Source organism: Homo sapiens, chromosome 3 (assembly GCF_000001405.40).
Source record: "Homo sapiens chromosome 3, GRCh38.p14 Primary Assembly".
Taxonomy (NCBI): Eukaryota; Metazoa; Chordata; class Mammalia; order Primates; family Hominidae; genus Homo; species Homo sapiens.
In genome coordinates this window covers 45,619,249-45,638,453 of record NC_000003.12, presented here as the reverse complement: position 1 = coordinate 45,638,453, position 19,205 = coordinate 45,619,249, and the positions used below count along the sequence as shown (strand labels likewise).

The 19,205-nt window shown below is 45.8% G+C and overlaps 1 protein-coding gene across 1 annotated transcript in view, besides 1 other annotated feature; it reads right to left on the bottom strand.

Annotated features, from left to right (window-relative positions):
• Positions 1 to 19,205, bottom strand: part of LIMD1 (LIM domain containing 1) — a 91,591-nt gene that overhangs the window by 47,888 nt on the left and 24,498 nt on the right. The window contains exon 2 of the mRNA NM_014240.3: positions 2,203 to 2,304. Within this exon, the coding sequence (NP_055055.1) occupies positions 2,203 to 2,304 (102 nt within the window). The remainder of the gene's footprint in view (positions 1 to 2,202; positions 2,305 to 19,205) is intronic.
• Positions 7,986 to 8,487: an enhancer, noted in NCBI's record as "H3K4me1 hESC enhancer chr3:45671459-45671960 (GRCh37/hg19 assembly coordinates)". NCBI's record gives its function as "activates a minimal SCP1, AML or CMV promoter by ChIP-STARR-seq in naive H9 embryonic stem cells {active_cell/tissue: H9 hESC(naive)}" and the evidence as "EXISTENCE:reporter gene assay evidence [ECO:0000049][PMID:30033119]".

Below are 19,205 nucleotides of genomic sequence, written 5' to 3'. Positions count from 1 at the left end.
CAAGAAACAGAAAACCAAATAGCTGAAAAACTTTCTACTGGGTACTATGTTCACTGTGTGGGTGACAGGACCAATAGAAGCTCAAACTTCAGATTCACACAATATACCTTTGTAACAAACCTGCACGTCTTGAATCTAAAACTAAAATTAAAATTTAACTAACTAAATAAATAAATAAAGGGGGGCCTAAACACAACTCCCATATGGATAAAACACAAACATGTGCCAAAGACTTTATTTAACTCATCAATTAATAAAGGAACCAATTAATGGGTTTAATGGGGAGAATTCAAAGAACCATAGGCCATCAGGAATGTTGAAATCAATTTGCTAAATAGATTGCAAAACTGGTCAATCTCCACAGGGTAACAATCATCAACTGCACCTCACCAGACAGTCTGCATTGCTATAGACAAGAATGTGTTGTACCATCAATATTCTACAACTTACAGAGTGCAACATAGCTCAAAGACAAGGAAAGGCACAGAGACCCAGAGAATTCGATAACCAGACCACTCCTAGATTTCCACTGCGGACATTCTCATAGTCTTTCCCTACACAGGTGAACACTGATCAATGTGTAAACCATAAACTCTCAGGCATGTGTTCTAAGGCAAATTGCAGTGAGGACTGAAGCATGAGGTTCAGAACTCAGGCCTGGACCATCAAGGCTCAGCAGGTTAGGAGGCCACTGGTTAACCACAATGCACTGGTTAACTTTATACTGGGAATTAGGATCTCTGGCTGTGAGCAAGTTCTTCCCCTTCCCTTCTCCAGAAGGATTCAAAATGAGGATCCCCAAACCAATGGTAGTCAGCCCTGATCACACCCTGGAAGTATCTGAGAAGCTGTGAAAAAATACACTTGCCCCACTTGGGCGGGCGCAGTGGCTCACGCCTGTAATCCCAGCACTTTGGGAGGCCGAGGTGGGTGGATCACAAGGTCAAGAGATCGAGACAATCCTGGCCAACATGGTGAAACCCCGTCTCTACTAAAAATACAAAAATTAGCTGGGCGTGCTGGTGCACATCTGTAGTCCCAGCTACTCGGGAGGCTGTAGCAAAAGAATCGCTTGAACCCAGGAGGCGGAGGTTGCAGTGAGCTGAGATAGCACCACTGCACTCCAGCCTGGGTGACAAAGCGAGACTCCGTCTCAAAAAAAAAAAAAAAATTAATACACTTGCCTCACTCTAGAAATTCCAAGGGTGATGCCCTGGCCCCACCCTTGATTAGCAGAATCAGATTGAGGTTCCTAGCTAATCCTATCAGATTAGGATTTAGCTCTGATTCTGATTAGCAGGGTTTTAAAGTCTCCACAGGTGATTCTAATGAGCAGCCAGGATTGCAAACCACGGGGCCAGATGGTTAGAAAGACCCCTTTGTTCCTGACACCCTGTGACTCTGCTGTAACATTCCCTTTTAGTTGAGAGCTGTTAGCCTCAGTATAGGATTGAGAATATAAGTAGGACATTTTCCAAAAATACTCCTCAAAATTAATCTTTGATAGAGACAGAAAACAAGCAAAATCCATAACTTGGTCAGACTTGGCAAGCATGCAATGTGTTAGAATCTTCCACGGGGAGCGGTTGCCATCCATTCAATCCAGACTCCTGATGGGCTGCTTGAATTATAATGCATGTACTGGAGTACAAAGATGCCCACAGGTGTGTGCTAGGTAGGCACCAGCACATGGGTGGCATGCACACACACCTCATGCTCATACAGCAGCCTCCAAATCAAAGATTAGGTTAGGGAGGTGGTTACAGAGTAATAAAGGACCCCCACCTCCACCTCACACTGGGGTAGCTGACTGACTAATCACTTTTGGTTGGCTGGTCCCCACAGTGGGGGAGAGAACTGACAAACAGGGTAGACATGGTGAATCCCAGCACTTCCTCCCAAATCTTCTGAAACCTCTTCTTACATATTTCAAACCTGATGTGATTAGGGATCACTCTGAACTCATTCAACTTATCACCAGAATCACAGGCAATCTTTGGTATTGTGTTAAGTCACCGTGCCCTGATGGGCTTCTGTTGGTGGTAAGAAACCCTGCTGTAAAAGACACTGTCTGGCTTTTCTGTGGGGCTGAGGAGGGCCATGGACCAACCGTCTCCAGAAAGATGATCTCTCTCCTCCCTTTCTCGGTTCCCATGTTCCTTACGCATCCCCCACACACCCGACACCCACACCCACACTTACTGCAAGCTGCACAGGTGAAGCATGTGTCATGGTAGAGGTTCCCCATGGCCTGACAGGCCTGGCCAGCCCCAAACACCCCTTTGCTGCATTTCACACAGGCTCCTTGCAGGACAAGAGAAACATCAGTGAGTCAGGAGGGAACCAGTGTAAACTGAGTCATAAAAAAGCCAATGAACAAAGCATAATACCATCCCTCCCCATGGCCAGCCCACCACCAAATCCAGTGGATGACTCATTTGAAGTGTCTTTCTCTCCCTCTCCCTCTGTCACTCTTTCAACTGCAGAAAACAGCTACCAGGCTGGACTTTAGGTCCCACTTTCCCTGCCCCACTGTTATGCTAATGTCCAGAATTCCTGGGCTTGGTCAACTCCCTCCCTCACCCCACCCAAAGCTTTCGAAGGTTCCCACTGTTTGTAAGACAGTTCAGAAAGATTGCACCATCACTATAATATGCCAAGCATGCAGGTTGGGAAATTTCTTTTTTCCTCCCTTTTTTTTTTTTTTTTTTTTTTTTTTTTGAGACGGGGATCTTGATATGTTGCCCAGACTGGTCTTGAACTCCTAGGCTCAAGCAATCCTCCCGCCTCGGCCTCCTAAAGTGCTAGGATTACAGGTGTGAGCCACCATGCCTGGCCAGACAATTCCAACTAAATTATTTCCTTTAATTTTCAGTGGGAACCACCAACTAGGATTTAGTAACCTCAATTTTTACAAAAAGTATATCACACCCCAAGCCCTGGGTTTGTCAGACTGCAAGCAAGTGCTCTTCCCTGCCCTTCTACCAGCAGCTCCTCACCCCCTAACAAGTCCCACAGGGTCTTAGCCCAGCCTTTGCTGATGGGCCCCTACCTAGTACATTCTACTCCTGCCCTTCTGTTCACTCAAGTCCTGAGGCTTTCATCTCAGCCTGCCCCACGATTCCTTCCTCAGACTGTTTGAGGCCAGGAGTTCAACACCAGCCTGGGCAACATAGGGAGATCATCCATCGAGAGAGAGAGAGAGAACTTTTTTTTGAGACAGAGTCTCACTCTGTCACCTGGGCTGGAGTGCAGTGGTGCAATCTCGGCTCACTGCAACCTCCGCCTCCCGGGTTCAAGTGATTCTCCTGCCTCAGCCTTCCAAGTAGCTGGGACTACAGGAATGCACAATCAAGCCCAGCTGATTTTTGTATTTTCAGTAGAGATGGGGTTTCACCATGTTGGCCAGGCTGGTCTCAAACTACTGACCTCAGGTGATCCGCCTGCCTCAGCCTCCCAAAGTGCCGGGATGACAGGCATGAGCCACCGCGCCTGGCCTGAAAAAACAAATTTGAAGAGCCAGGTTCTAACCTTGAGCCTCCCACCTACCCGTGACTCCTGTAGTTTGGATTAATGGTGATCAGCTCTCTGGGTGTCCGTTTCTTAATTAGGAAATAGAGGTTCCTTCCATCTGCCCTGCATATTCCCAGGAGCAGCAATTAAGAGTTGCTTTGAAAACCAAAAAGTTCTAAAGAGTTAACATGCCTCAACTACAAAGTGCTTATTGGGACACCTGGTCTAAAACAGCTCCACAATTTACTAGCTATGTGACAAGCGCAGACTAATTAAACTCCGATGTTGGGCTAGAAAATGGGGACAACAGTGGCCCCCTCGTAGGGTTACTGTTAAGAGAATATGTGCAAAGTACTTAGTGCAGGGCCCCATACTTGGGAAATGCTCAATTAACAGGCAAATTATAAGGATGACAATCATGTTACTGCCTCCTGCAAAAAGTGCCTTCAGCTTAAAAAGAGCTGTCTAAGAAGTTCTGGGCCTCTCGGGATCTCACATGGGCTCTGTGAACAGGCTGGAGGTCTCTCAGGCTAGGCCAGCCCAGAACCCCTACAGTAGCAGCCCAGGCTCCGGGCCCATCCACATCAAGGAGGCCTTGGAGTCTCCCTCCCAAAGAACTCCCCCATTACAGTCAAATGAAAGACAGCACAATTATGTAAACAATGCACAAGATGAAAAAAGATTCACGGAGGAATATATTAAAATATAAACAGTGGTTTCTTTATGTTGTAAAACTGTAGCTGGCCTTATTTCTTTACATTTTCTGTAGTTTTTTATAAGACAGCAGGCATTCATTACTTTACAGATTTTAAAAGGTCGTCTCAAAAAAGTGTTTGAATATGTTCAAATACATTATATAATGTTAAAATTTTTGAAAAATCAACTTCACAGATTTTATAAATATCAATTGCTCCCCTAGCACCCAGCAAGGTAGCCAGCTGGCATCCTTTGGTCAGGAGGAGCTCAGGCATCCTTTTCTAACTCTGGCTCCAATCTGCCAGGGCTATTCTCAGGCTGCAAATCCCCAGCCTTCTGCCCACAGGGTAGAAAGCCCTGTGTTTCAGAGTTCATATCATTTTAAGTTGATAAACTGCATCACCATCAAAGGAAGTCCAAGCTAACACATCCTTCATGAAATTCCCCCACACCAACAGGTTTAAGGAGAAAGCCCCTCTGCCAACACCAGGAAGCAGGGTGAAGCAGTCTGTAGGAAACAGACAAGACATTGACCATTGGAGAAATTCATTTATAGAAAGCTCAAGAGGGCACAAGTATTGGTTATCTGCAGTTCTTCTTCTGTTTCAACATTTTCAAACACGCAGAAAAGTTGAAGGAATTATACAGAGGGTACCCACATACTCACCATCCCAATTCTATAATTGATGTTTTGCTAACCATTCCTCAATCAATCCAACAATCCATCCCATTCTTGATGCATTTCAAAGTTGCAGGCAGCAACTTCACCCCAAACACTTCAGCCTCCCCATCATTAACTAGAGTTCATCATTTATTTGCTTAGGCTTATTTTTTTCCGGGTAAAATTCACAAACAGACACAAAAAGTGTAAGTCTACCATTCAATGAGTTTTGACAAATGATCTATGTAAAGCAAACCCAAATCAAGATATAGAATATTTCCAACACCCCCAAAAAGTTCCTGCCTGCCTTCTCCCTTCCATCTTCTCTTTAATGGCCATGAAATGCATGTGTGTGCATGTATATGTGCCTGTGGAGGGGAGGGTGGCGGGCGGATGAGATTACTGGACAGCTGGCATTTCTGTTCCTTGCAAGCAGCAAAGTCAACAGGGAGCCCCCACCAGTATGAAACTGAAAGCATCAAGTAATTCAGAGGCATCAGCATTTCTTTCTGTCTAATGATTTTTATATACAACTTAGGTACCTTATGCTCTCAAGGTAGAAAATACAGTTCCGGGCAAACTGCATTTCTTTTGCTGGCACACATGGAGCTGTGGGGCCCACCTAGCAGCAAAGCATAAACCCAACAGGGTTGAGGCATCACCACTCATCTTTAAGGCTCCTTTAAGCGGTCTCGTCACCCTGGAAAGCAGTGGTGTCGCGGCTGCTGCTAGGGGCCCATGCACAGTGACCACTGGACCAGGCCGAGCCAAGTGGGGCCTCTAGTATTTGGGACGGGGCAAATGTGGAAGTGATGGTGGTGGTGCATCTGCCACTGGGCACAGCACCTACCATGCTGTGGTGAGTTGCTAGTTACCTGGGCATTTGCCTCTCCTAGTGAATTGCAAGTGCCTTCAGAATAAGGGCCATGTCTTAACTGTGGCCTCCGCAAGTGCTCAAGGAAACAAGTGTGAGTTGAATCACATTCCACATAGTTCCCTGCACAGTCCTTTCCTCTTTCTTCCTTACCTGGCACCTGCTTCCTTGTATCTTGGGCACACATGTCTGTTCCCCCACAAGCACTTCATTCCAAGGCCCAGGGTCTTATTCATCTCTGAACACCCCCAGCCACAGACAGAGTGCACTTAGTATCCCCTCAGCAGACCTAAACACAGAGAAATGGGTTCTATGGACATCTATTGGGAACTGGCGATGACATAATTCAAATGTGACAATGGGGGAGAAATCTTTCCGAAAAATGCCAAATATCAGGCCATGGCAAAATGTCAAGATATGAGTTAGGTTATTGTTTGGTAATGCCGAAGTCCACTTCCAGATTACCCATCGTAAGTCCCCTGGTGGACCTGACTCTAAGCCTTTACAATGAGCAACAAAAGCTAGTTTGTCAGGCATCAACTAAGCACACTCGAAGCAGGCTACATGTAATGTTAAAGCAGTGCATTTGTGAATATAATTCTGCTCACAAACGTGGTGTAAAACCACTCCCAAATGCTGTGGCCTCTTTGTTTAACCTCCTGTAAAATGCTGGCTACAAACAGCAGAGGGGCACAGGGACTCAGCAGCTTAGCATGGCATGCCCACCCTTTCCACCACCCACAGCATGAGCACATGAAGAGGACCGTCCTGCAAGACAGCTCACCAAAAAGGAAAGGTGAAATGAATTGCACGTGTCAGTGCAATGCTGCTGGCCCAGACGGCAGAAGCAAATGCATCTTATTTGGGTTTGGGGAATGAAATCCAGCACCCTCTCCTACCCCTGTTCATAAGATGCTGGCAGGGTGGCCAGCGTCTTCACGTGGATGCTCTGACAACAGCCAGTGCCCCACTGGACTTCCTGCCACTTTATCTCTCAACGGCAGGGCTTCCTCCCCTCTCTCCACACCCTGCTCAGCTACACTCTCTTCTGGCTTCCTCTCTCTGAGGGCTGTGACCCTCTGCCTTCAGCTGTCCCTCACTTTCTGTTCCTGCAGCTGAGTCCTTCGGGCTGCTGACATCCTTTCTCTCCACCGTGACCAGTGACCACCTAGCACAGATACAAAACAAGGAAGCCACCTGTGTTTGAAACCATGGGTCACAGAGTGAGGAAGACCCCATAAGAAGCCAAGTAGGTAGGAAAAGATTTCATCCTTGTGGCTAAATGGATCTAAAAGTACTTCCTACACAGAAAAGGTAGGGAAAAAAACTGCATTTCACATTCTAGGAAATCATGTGTCTACTATGGGCCAGACCCTGGACTTGGAGATTTCTTTCTTTGTTTTTTTTTTGAGAGAGTCTCACTCTGTCGCCAGGCTGGAGTGCAGTATATCAGTATGGACTCACAGATATTTTTTTCTTTGGATTTTTATTATTATTATTATTATTTGAGACAGAGTCTCACTCTGTCATCCAGGCTGGAGTGCAGCATGCGATCTCGGCTACCTGTAACCTCTGCCTCCTGGTTTCAAGCTATTCTCCTGCCTCAGCCTCCCGAGTAGCTGGGATTACAGTTGTGCACCACCATGCCTGACTAATTTTTATATTTTTAGTAGAGACGGGGTTTCTCCATGCTGGCCAGGCTGGTCTGGAACTCCTGACCTCAGGTGATCCGCCCGCCTCGGCCTCCCAAAGTGCTGGGATTACAGGCGTGAGCCACCGCACCTAGCCAGACTTGGGGATTTCAACCAGTGAAGGAGCTGCTGCCATCTCCTGTCTAAAACCCAAGTTCCAGAAAGGTCCTGTCACTTACTGAAGTCTGCACAGTGGGTAGGTTTGAAAGAGGGAATCTGAGCCCCAGTTCCAACTCAAAGGTCTCATTATGACTATCTGGTTGGCAGCTGTGGCTATTCCTGCCACACATGCCCCCCAACCCCCCCCATCATGAGGGGAGCTCCTTCCTCACCCCATAACATATCACCTCATCAGGGATTCAGACCCCAGACCAGCCCTGCCCCCAGTCTCCTACTACCCACCCTGGCCCACCTCCCATTCTACCTTGTCCCTTGCACACACGACCATCTTTCTGACTGGGACCTCAATCACAAGGCCTCTCCCTGGGGGGCAACCCGCAGCTCCTCCTGCCCTTCTGTGAGGGGCCCTGCAGGTGCGTGCCTTCTGATTGCCCTTCAGGAAACCAATCGTTCCCCCCACAAACACTTCCCTCTCACTCATTTGGAGCCAGCCCCTCTCCAGACGCTGGCTATGGGATAGGGAGCAGGGTGACTGCACTGTGGCCATGCCCTTGTAGAAACCAGACCCTGCCACCACTGGTGGTGAGCTGCCCAATCTCACCTGTACATTCACTAAGTGGTCTGGGCTGAGGAGAGGCTCAGGCTCAACAAGAAGAAAAAGAGTAGGCTCTTAGCCTCCCTTGGCTTTGCCAGGGCCCCCCATGCCACAGGATTTTAAAGAAATGCCCAACAGAGGAAAGAAAAAATATCATCACATGTTACTGTAACAACCAAGCTCAAAAACCAGAAGGGAAGTGAGAGGAATAAGGGATACACTTTTAGGAGAAGAGAGGAAGGGATGGGCATTTTTCCTCTGCAATTAGACTTACTGCCCCTTTAGCCCATTCTCCAAATTGTAGCCCAAGCAATCTTCTTATAAAACAGCTTTAATGAGATATAAGTAGCATATAATAAGCTGTACCTATTTAAAGAGTGCAATTTGGTATTATGATGGGAAAAGTTCCCTTGTCCCTCTCACAGGGTGTGCAATGGGAGTGTGGCTCGCTTCTTCAGTGCCCCCCTGCTCAAACCTCTAGGGGAGCATACAGGCTCTCCTCCGACTGCCCCAGCCAAACTCTGCCTCGTTCTGCCGGCTGATGGCCTGCCAGTGTGGTGGCGTCTGTCGGTGTGCTCCTGGCATCCTCTCGCCATCCAGCTGCTTGTATCTTCTTCCGCTGATGTGTTCCTCTCGCCGTCCAGCAGCTTCTGTCTCTGCCTTGCTAGGGTCTCAGGTTTTTATAGGCCCAGGATGGGAGCAAGGCAGGCTGGGGTGGTTTTGGAAAATGCAATATTTGGGTGCAAAGGCAGAAGTGCCTGTCCTCACCTAGGTCCCTGGTATAGAGCCCTAGCCAGGGACCATGCCCTCCTCTACCCAGCACTTCTCTTCCCTGCTTCTGTATCAGTATGTTGTGACATTTCTTTTCTTTTCTTTTTTTTTTTTTTTTTTGAGACAAGAGTCTTCTTTGTCACCCAGGCTGGAGTGCAGTGGCGTGATCTCAGCTCACTACAACCTCTGCCTCCTGGGTTCAAGCGATTCTCCTGCCTCAGTCTCCTGAGTAGCTGGGATTACAGGCACGTGCCACCAGGCCTGGCTAATTTTTGTATTTTTAGTAGAGACAAGAGTTTCACCATGTTGGTCAGGCTGGTCTTGAACTCCTGACCTCATGATCTGCCCGCCTCGGCCTCCCAAAGTGCTGGGAATACAGGCGTGAACCACCGTGCCCAGCCCCGTGTTGTGACATTTCTATACACCTGTGAAATCACCACAATCAAGACAATGATCAAATCCACTGCCCCAGAGATTCCCCATGTCCTCATGCCTTTTGCAATCCCTCCCCGCTTCCTCTTCCTCTCCCCAGGCAACCACTGATCTGCTTTCTGTCATCACAGATTAGCTTGTCTTTTCTAGTTTATATAAATGGAATCTGGAGTATGTACTTTATCTGGTTTATGTACTTTATCTGGTTTCTTTCACTCAATATAAATTGAGATTCACGCATGCTGTTACATGCAGCAGGAGCTCATTCCTCTTTACTGCCATGTGGTATTCCACCATATGAATGTATTAGTTTGTTTATCCATTTGCTTGTTGATGCACATAAGTTGTTTCCAGTTTGAGGCTATTACAAATAAAGATGCCATCAAGATTTGTGTACAAGCGTTTGTAATGGACATACATTTGCACTTCTCTTGAGTAAAGGCCTAGGAGTGAAATGGCTGGGTCTTATGGTAGGTGGATGATTAACTGTTTAAGAAATTGACAAACCGCTTTCTGAAGAAGTTATATCATTTTACATTCCTACCAGCAGCTCATTAGAGTTCCAAATTCTCCACATCCTTGCCAACACTTGGCATGAATAGTCTTTTAAATGTTATCCATTCTATTGTAATAGGTTATACAGTAGCATCTCATTGTAGTTTTAATCTGCATCTCTCTAGTAACTGATGTTGTGTGTGAGCATCTTTTCACCTGCTTATTTGTCATCCTTTTCTTCTTTAGTGAGACGCCCAAATCTTTTGCCTGTTTTTTTTCTTACTGTTATGAGAACTTCTTATACATTCTAGATACAAGTTCTTTATCAGATATTGCTTCACAAAGGTTTTGCTAGAGTCCTACAAACTAGCTGCCTTGGTCCCCATAGACTCTCAGCTCCTTTTCAACTCAGGGAGTCCACCAGGTTCTGCCTCTCTTCTCCCTCCCTGTGCCAAGGCCTGGAAATTCTCTCGAGGCAATTAGCTGGGGCTGTCACTGGGCTCACCTCATTTGCTTCCTATCTCTCAAGAATCACCTTCTTGATGTCCAGTGTCTTGAAAACCTTTGGTTCATATATTCTTTTTTCTTTTTTTTTTTTGAGATGGGGTCTCACTCTGTCACCCAGGCTGGAGTGCAGTGGCACCATCTTGGCTCACTGCAACCTCCGCCTCCCAGGTTCAAGCGATTCTCCTGCCTCAGCCTCCTGAGTAGCTGGGACTACAGGCGTGCAACACCATGCCTCGCTAATTTTTGTATTTTCAGTAGAGATGGTGTTTCGCCATGTTGGCCAGGCTGGTATCGAACTCCTGACCTCAAGTGATCCACCCGCCTCGGCCTCCCAAAGTGCTGGGATTACAGGCATGAGCTACCGCACCTGGCCTTTTTTTTTTTTTTTTTTTGGTTGTTTTAGGCAGGAGGTTCATCCAGTCCCTGATGCTCCATCTTTAGAATGGGCTTTTTCATTTTATATTTTATAAAAAAGAGACGGGTTCTCGCTATGTTGACCAAGTTGGTCTTGAACTCCTGGCTTCAAGTGATCCTCCCATCTTGGCCTCCCAAAGTGCTGGGATTACACGTGTGAGCCACCACATCTAGCCTAGAATGGGCATTTATTAAACATCACAAGTGCCAACACGGTGCTAGACAGTTTATATGTGTTTCTTCATTTAACAACAATTCTATAAAACATCATCACTTTATACATGAAGAAACTGAAGTTCAAAGATTAAATCTAATGCGCAAAATCAGGCTGACTTATCTATATCCTTTCCAGTCCATCCTACTGCACTTATAAGAGGGGCTAAGGGAGTACCGGGGAAGAAAAGGTCCAGGGGTTCTACTTATCCCTAAAACTTAGTATCTTCATGGTTTTGGGGCACCAGCGAATCCCCAAATCCCAGCTCAGTGATGGCAGCATAGCTCCTTCTTGGCTGCAGCTAGGAGATGAAGGCCAAGCCCACCCCTACGCACAGAGAAATGTGGCCCTTGGAACCCTGGGCATGGAGTGGCCCCAGAAGAAGGTGTTTGTGTGCCCAGGGCCTCTCCTTCGGGGACACCAAAGGAGGTGGGGGAGCACAGTGGATTTTTGAAAGATCATTAATAGTCAATAGGCCAACAGACTTCAGTGGGAATTATTTTTAAAAAATGATATTTATCATTTTGGCCTATTTCCTTCCAGTATTTTTTCAATGAATTTACTTTTTTTTTTTTTTGAGCAGTTTTAGGTTCACAGCAAAACTGAGCAAAAGCTACAGAGAATTTCCATATATCCCCTTCCTCACACATGCACAGCCCCCCTCCCTATCAACAGCCCCCACCAGAGTGGTACACTTGTCACAAATGAGGAACCTACATGGACACATCATTATCACCCGAAGTCCACAGTTCATGTGTGGGTTCACTCTGGGTGCTGTACATTCTATGGGTGTGGACAAGTGTATGGCATGTATCTACTATTACAGTAGCAAACAGACTAATTTCACTGCCCTAAAAATCCCCTATGCTCCACTTATTCATCTGTTCCTCCCCAAAAACCCCTGGCAACCATTGATCCTTTTATTTTCTCCAAAGTTTTGCCTTTTCCAGAATGTTGTATCTTTGGAATCATACACTCTGCAGCCTTTTAGATCGGCTTCTCTCACTTACTAACATGCATTTATGGTTTCTCCATGTCTTTTCATGGCTCAATAGCTCATTTTTTCTTAGTGCTAAATAATATGCCATTGTCTGGATATACAACCATTTATTGATGCAGTCATCTACTGAAGGACATCTTGCCAAATTTTGTCATTATGAATAAGCTTCTATAAACATTCGTGTGCAGGTTTTTGTGTGGACATAAGTTTTCAACTCATTTGGGTAAATACCAAGGACGGTGACTGCTGGATTATACAACAAGAATATGTTCAGTTTTATAAGAAGCTGCCAAACTGTTTTCCAAAATGGCTATACAAGATTCTTTTAAAAATCATAATATTCTCACAGGAAAGGGCAAAAACAAGGGACAGTTTCCCGTTTTAAAAGATGTGCAGCAGGAGGCAATGATCCACCAAGGATTACTCAAACATTTCTCCCACCTCTCTTTTGTGGCTTATGATTTTATACTAGGTAGGGTTAGCAGTGTATGTCTCCTCATATTAGTCAAACAAATAAGCTTACTGAGCCAAATAAGCCAGGGCAGGGCTCTGGCTGTATATTTTAGTATCGCCATATCTTAATCCATTTTGTGCTACTATAATGGAATACCCGAGACTGAGTAATTTATAAAGAGCAGACATTTATTTCTTACAGTTCTAGAGGCTGGGAAGTCCAAGGATGAAGGGCCCGTATCTGCCAAGGGCCTTCTTACTGCATCATGGAAGGGTGAAAGCATGTGCAAGAGAAAGCAGGGAAGGGGGCTAAATCCATCCTTTTACCAGGAACCCGCTCCAGATATACCATTATTAATCCATTCACAAGGGCAGAGTCTTCATGACCTAATCACCTCTTAAAGGTCCCACCTCTCAACACTGTTGCCTTGGGGATTCAGTTTCCAACACTTGAACTGTGGGGGGCATATTCAAACCCCAAAGGATCCCACAAACAAGAAATGCTGAGTGCCTCACACACAGTAGATGCCAAATAAGCACTGAACACATTCAAAAACCAGAGTCAGCAGGAAGGTGTTCTAGGTAAATGAAGGCTCAGAGACAGGAAAGGCAGAGGCACATACACAACTGTGTTCCATGCTTATTCGGCATCTACTGAGTGTGAGGTACTCGGCATTTCTTGTTTGTTTAGGCTCCATATTAATGGCATCAGTGAGCTATATATAAAAATCAGGCTGACCTAACTTTCTCTGTGCACAACAGTGGTTCTCAAATGGTTTAAATGGGTAGAAACTTTTCTTTTAAAAAGTATCAATGGAACCTCAACTATATATAACACACATAAGAGAAATCACTATGATTTAGGGTGGGACAGAGACCACTCTGCCTCCTAGGCTGTCCTGGCCCCCTGCAGTGGTTCCAGGAAGATTATCTGAAAACCATTAACATACGGCAAAACTGGTCAACTGCAGATACAACCCTGCCTGGCCTGGGCAGCCTTCCACGTGAAATAAGTTACCCTGAATTGGTATTAAATCATCTTCTGCACACCCAAAGCCGAAAAACAATTTGAACTTTGGGGGGCACCTACTCCACTCTCCCAGCAAAGGCAGCATTTACAAAAAAAAAAAAAAAAAGGAAGATAGCAGAGCACCCTTAGCAAGACAGTTGGCTAGAAGACAATTCCTGCCTCCTTCCTGTCCACAGCCAGGCTGAGGATGCAGCCAACCAGGGTGACGACCAAGTCAGCATCTCCTGTTGTGATGGAAAGTTTTTTTTTGTTTTGTTTTGTTTTTGAGGCGGAGTCTCGCTCTGTCGCCCAGGCTGGAGTGCAGTGGCGCAATCTTGGCTCTCTGCAAGCTCCGCCTCCTGGGTTCACGCCATTCTCCTGCCTCAGCCTCCTGAGTAGCTGGGACTACAGGCGCCCGCCACCACACCCGGCTAATTTCTTTTTATTTTTATTTTTTTGTATTTTCAGTAGAGATGGGGTTTCACTGTTTAGCCAGGATGGTCTCGATCTCCTGACCTCATGATCCGCCCACCTCGGCCTCCCAAAGTGCTGGGATTACAGGCGTGAGACACCGCGCCTGGCCGATGGAAAGCTTTTAAATAAAAAGGCTCTACCAGGCTAGCCAATGAATGTGGCCCTGCTCCTACCCCCGTCTCACATCTCGACTTTATTTTGTGCCACTTCCCTCTCAGTGAAGAAGGGAGGCCTCCCAGAGCAGTGCCCCCACCACACCACCAGACATCATGCAAGATCACATAGCTATGAACCACCTACTGTATGCTGAAAGGGGTTGGGGCAAGGGTCAGGGCATCCAGTCAGCATCTGCAGGGATGCTAGAAAGATCAGCCTGGAACATAATTTTATGAGTTATCCCAAACACAGCTTGAGCAAGGCTCTTTCTTGGCCAAAAGTTGCTGCCTGTGTACCTGGACAGCTCTGGGCATCAGCAGGTTCTGAAGAGGAGCCAAGTCCTTGGGACAGAGCTAGACCAATGATCACAGCAACAGTCTTCCCCCAGCCACTCTAAAAGCTCACAAAAGATCTCCAGGGGTGGCTGCTGCTGGGCTCCTGACTAACACGCATATCAAATTCCCACTTCTCAAGTCTGGCTGTACAGAATCGATGTGCGAATGCCCAACACTACCTCCAGAGACAGGGTCCCGTTTTGGGGGTAAGGCCAAAGCTCTCCAGCTGACTCTAGTGCACAGCCAGGGACGAGAACCACAGATGTAGATAACGCAACACCCTGCATCCTACCTGGCATCCTGGACATCCCCTGCCTCTGCCCTCTCCCTCACACACTCTGCAGCTCTCACGTCAATGGGTAAAGCCATCACCAAGCCACAAAGGAAGTACTTAAGACCACTATGGGCCATAGGGTCATTGTGCCAGCCTACTTTTTTTCATTCTGAACTTGCCATTAAAACACACATGGCCTCAAAACCAACGATGGCCTTACTTCATCACAGTGGGAAAGGAAGTTTCTAATGCAATTTCCCAATCACTGTGAGCTTGAGCTTGCCCTGCCAGACTGCCCGTAGGTATACTTTTGCCCAAGGACACTACTATTCCCTGGCCTAAATGATTCCTGGCCTCCACTCTACAGGGAAACAAGGAGCTCAAAGTACCCCTGAGCAAGTCCTGCACCCCACCCCCAACTCCTACATGAAGCTCTCCTCCAGCTATCGCCAGGGCAGCCCAGCCTGCAGCCTCTGGTTATACCCTTCTGTCTGGTCTTCCTTTTTCCTCACGAGGGTCTTAACTTCGAGTCTCTCCACACAGAGGCTGATGAGCTTTCTCAACTCTAATACGAAATAGGAATGGCCAAGCAGCATTCAAAAAGGTGTTCCTTGCTAGGAGTCACATGCAAAGAGGGGATGCCACTTGTCACTAACCTGATTGACAAAGATGGAAAATAAGGATGATAACAGTGTCACCGAGGTGTAGAGAAAGGGCTCTCTCATACACTCTTAATGGAAGCATAAACGTGGACAACCTTTCTGGAGGGCAGTTTGGCATGATGCATCAAAAACCTTTAAAAGGCCAGGTGCGGTGGCTCACGCCTGTAATCACAGCACTTTGGGAGGCCAAGGCGGGATCATCACCTTAGGTCAGGAGTTCCAGACCAGCCTGGCCAACATGGTGAAACCCTGTCTCTACTAAAAATACAAAAATTAGCCAGGTGCAGTAGCCACGCCTGTAGTCCCAGCTACTTGGGAGGCTGAGGCAGGAGAATTGCTTGAACCTGGGAGGCGGAGGTTGCAGTGAGCCAAGATCATGCCACTGCAATCCAGCCTGGGTGACAGCATGAGACTCTGTTTAAAAAAAAAAAAAAAAAAATTCCTTTAAAAAAGTTCACACTATTTGACCCCATACAGCAGTCTCCCCTTTCCTCAGTCTCAGTCAACCATTGTCAAAACACGGGTGAGTATAGTACAGCAAGATATTTTGAAAGAGAAAGACCACATTCACGTAATTTTTATTACAGTGAACTGCTATAATTGTGCTATAATTGTTCTATTTTATAATTGTATTTGTTCATCTCTTACCATGCCTGATATGTAATTTAAAGTTTATCATAGGTATGTGTGTACAGGAAAAGTCACAGTGTGTATAGGGTTCAGTACTACCCACAGTTTCAGGCATCCACTGGGGGTCTTGGACTATATCCCTCACGCATGAGGGCAGACTACTGTAATTTAACAGAATTTTTCCTAAGGAAAATAATTTAAAATTCTCCCCAAAATAGATGTGCACAGAGACAGCTAGTAGATTCCTGTTTACCCAGGGCTGGAGGACAGCGGAGCAGGGAGTGACAGCTAGTGGGAGTAGAGTTTATTTTCTGGGATAATAAAATTCTTCTAAAATTAGATAGTGGTGATGGTTGCACAACTCTGCAAATACACTAAAAACCAGTGAATTACACAATTTCTTTTTTTTTTTTTTTGAGATGGAGTCTCGCTCTGTCGCCAGACTGGAGTACAGTGGTGTGATCTCGGCTCACTGCAGCCTCCAACTCCCTGGTTCAAGTGATTCTCCTGCCTCAGCCTCCCGAGTAGCTGGGATTATAGGCACGCACCACCATGCCTGGCTAACTTTTGTATTTTTAGTACACACGGGGTTTCAGCATTTTGGCCAGGATGGTCTCGATCTCCTGACTTTTTGATCCACCCACTTCAGCCTCCCAAAGTGCTGGGATGACAGGTGTGAGCCACCGCGCCCAGCCTGAATTGCACAATTTCAATTGATGGATTTACGGTAATGTGAAGTATACCTGTTATTAAATGCTGTTGTTTAAGAAAGAATGTACAAAACTACTCATCAAAATATTAAACACTTAAATACGAAAAATAGAAAATATAAATAACCAATGCAGAGGTAAAGTTAAGTAAATACTACACAACTTTTAAAAATCATATTCTAGAGTAGCACTGCCTAATAGAAACGTTTCTATAATAATGAAAATGTTGGCCAGGCACAGTGGCTCACACCTATAATCCCAACACTTTGGGAAGTCAAGGTGGGAGGATCTCTTGAGCCTAGGAGTTCAAGACCAGCCTGGCAACAGAGTAAGACCCCTGTCTCTACATAAAATAAAAAAGATTTAAAAAATTAGCCAGGTGTGGTGGTACATGCCTGTAGACCCAGCCACTTGGGAGGCTGAAGTGGGAGGATTGTTCGAGCCTGGGAGTTCATGGCTGCAGTGAGCCATGGTCACACCACTGCAGTCCAGTCTGGCAACAGAGCAAGACCCTGTAAGGAAAGAAAAGGGAAAAGGAAAGGAAAAAAGAGAGGGGAGGGGAGGGGAAGGGAGGAATTCAATCCTGGAACTAAATCCACTGCATTTAGTGGTTGTCTCTCTTGGTCTCCTTTAACCTGGGACAGCTCCTCAGTCTTTGTCTTTCTTGACCTTGGTACTTTGGAAGAGTATAGGCCAATTATCTTGCATGCTGTCCCGAACTGGGGTTTGCCTAATGTTTCTTCATGATCAGACTGAGGATATGCATTTTTGGCAGGAATGTCCCAGGAGTGATGGTGTACCCTCCTCAGTACATCATACATGGGTGTACATGATGTCAACATGCAGAATAGAACATTTTACTGCTGGTGTTAACTTGATCACTTAGTTAAGGTGGTATTGGCCAGATTTCTCCACTGTAAAATTACTCTTTTTCTCTTTGGAATTAGCGCAAGAGCTTTATGAAGAAATATTTGAGATTCCTTATCATATTTTTGCCCACTATGCAGCATCCATTGATGATTCTTTTTGTTTGTTTTTTGAGACAGAGTCTTGCTCTGTTGCCCAGGTTGGAGTGCAATGGTGCAATCTTGGCTCACTGCAACTTCTGCCCCCCAGGTTCAAGCGATTTCTAGCTAATTTTTAATAGAGACAGGGTTTCATCATGTTGGCCAGGCTGGTCTCAAACACCTGACTTCAAGTGATCCACACACCTTGGACTCCCCAAGTGCTAGGATTACAAGCATGAGCCACCATGCCCAGCCCCATTGATGATTCTTGACAGCAACAACTATTACAGTGGTCTTTCCAAATGCTGACCTCTTCATTTTCATCATTCTTTCTACATTTTACTAATGGAATCCTCTGTACAAAAGTTTTCCCTTCTCCCCACTTATGTATTTATATCATCATTAAGGACTTGTGGATATTTATTTTATTCTCTGGGTTACAATACCCTTCTACCATTATTTATTTTGTTGCTCAAATTGGCCCAGATTTTGAAGCCAGTTTCTCAAGTTAGCTCACTTTTAACATCACCCTTCCTTGTGAAAAGGCTCAAAATCATGCATGTTTCCCAGGATCTTTGCATCAACATAAACTACTAAAACAAATGTCAACCTCCAGCAGAAAGTGTCTTGACCCCATCATGCAGGCTGAGTAGTGCAACATTCATATCGCTTCTCCCTTTCCAGGTCACTCCACATACCCACTCTTGACATCAGTTCAGTTTTCCCACCAGCAATTTAGAATACCCCATCCGACATCCTCCACCAATTTGCTTCTCTACTGGATTATTTCCTTCCATCTGGCCTGGAAATTCTCTGATCTCTCAAATAAGGCTCAGTTGTACTCCTTACTCCCTTCAGGTCTCAGCTTAATTTAGGGTTGCCAGATAAAATATAGGATGCCCAGTAAAATGTGCTTTTTTTGGGGGGGGGGGCGGGGGGTTGGTTATTATTATTAATTTTTTTAGATGGAGTTTCACTCTGTTGCCCAGGCTGGAGTATAGTGGTGCAATCTCAGCTCACCACAACCTCCGCTTCCCAGGTTCAAGCGATTCTCCTGCTTCAGTCTCCCGAGTAGTTGGGATTACAGGTGCCCATCACCACACCCGGCTAATTTTTATATTTTTAGTAGAGATGGGGTTTTACCATGTTGGCCAGGCTGGTCTCAGACTCCTGACCTCAGGTGATCTGCCCATCTTGGCCTCCCAAAGTGCTGGGATTACAGGCGTGATCCACCATGCCCAGCCTTAAAACGTGAATTTAAGCATAGCAACAAATAATTTTTAGTGACTGTCCCATGCAAATTCGAATATCAGATAAACAAGTATTTTTAGTGTAAGTACCATCACATGGTACATATTTATACTGAAAATTATTTGTTGTTTATCTGACATTCAAATGTATTTTTATTTGTTAAATCTGGCAATCTAAACTCAAGTATAAAGAAGAGCTCGCAGCTGGGCACAGTGGCTCACATCTATAATCTCAGAACTTTAGGAGGCTGAAGCGGGAGGA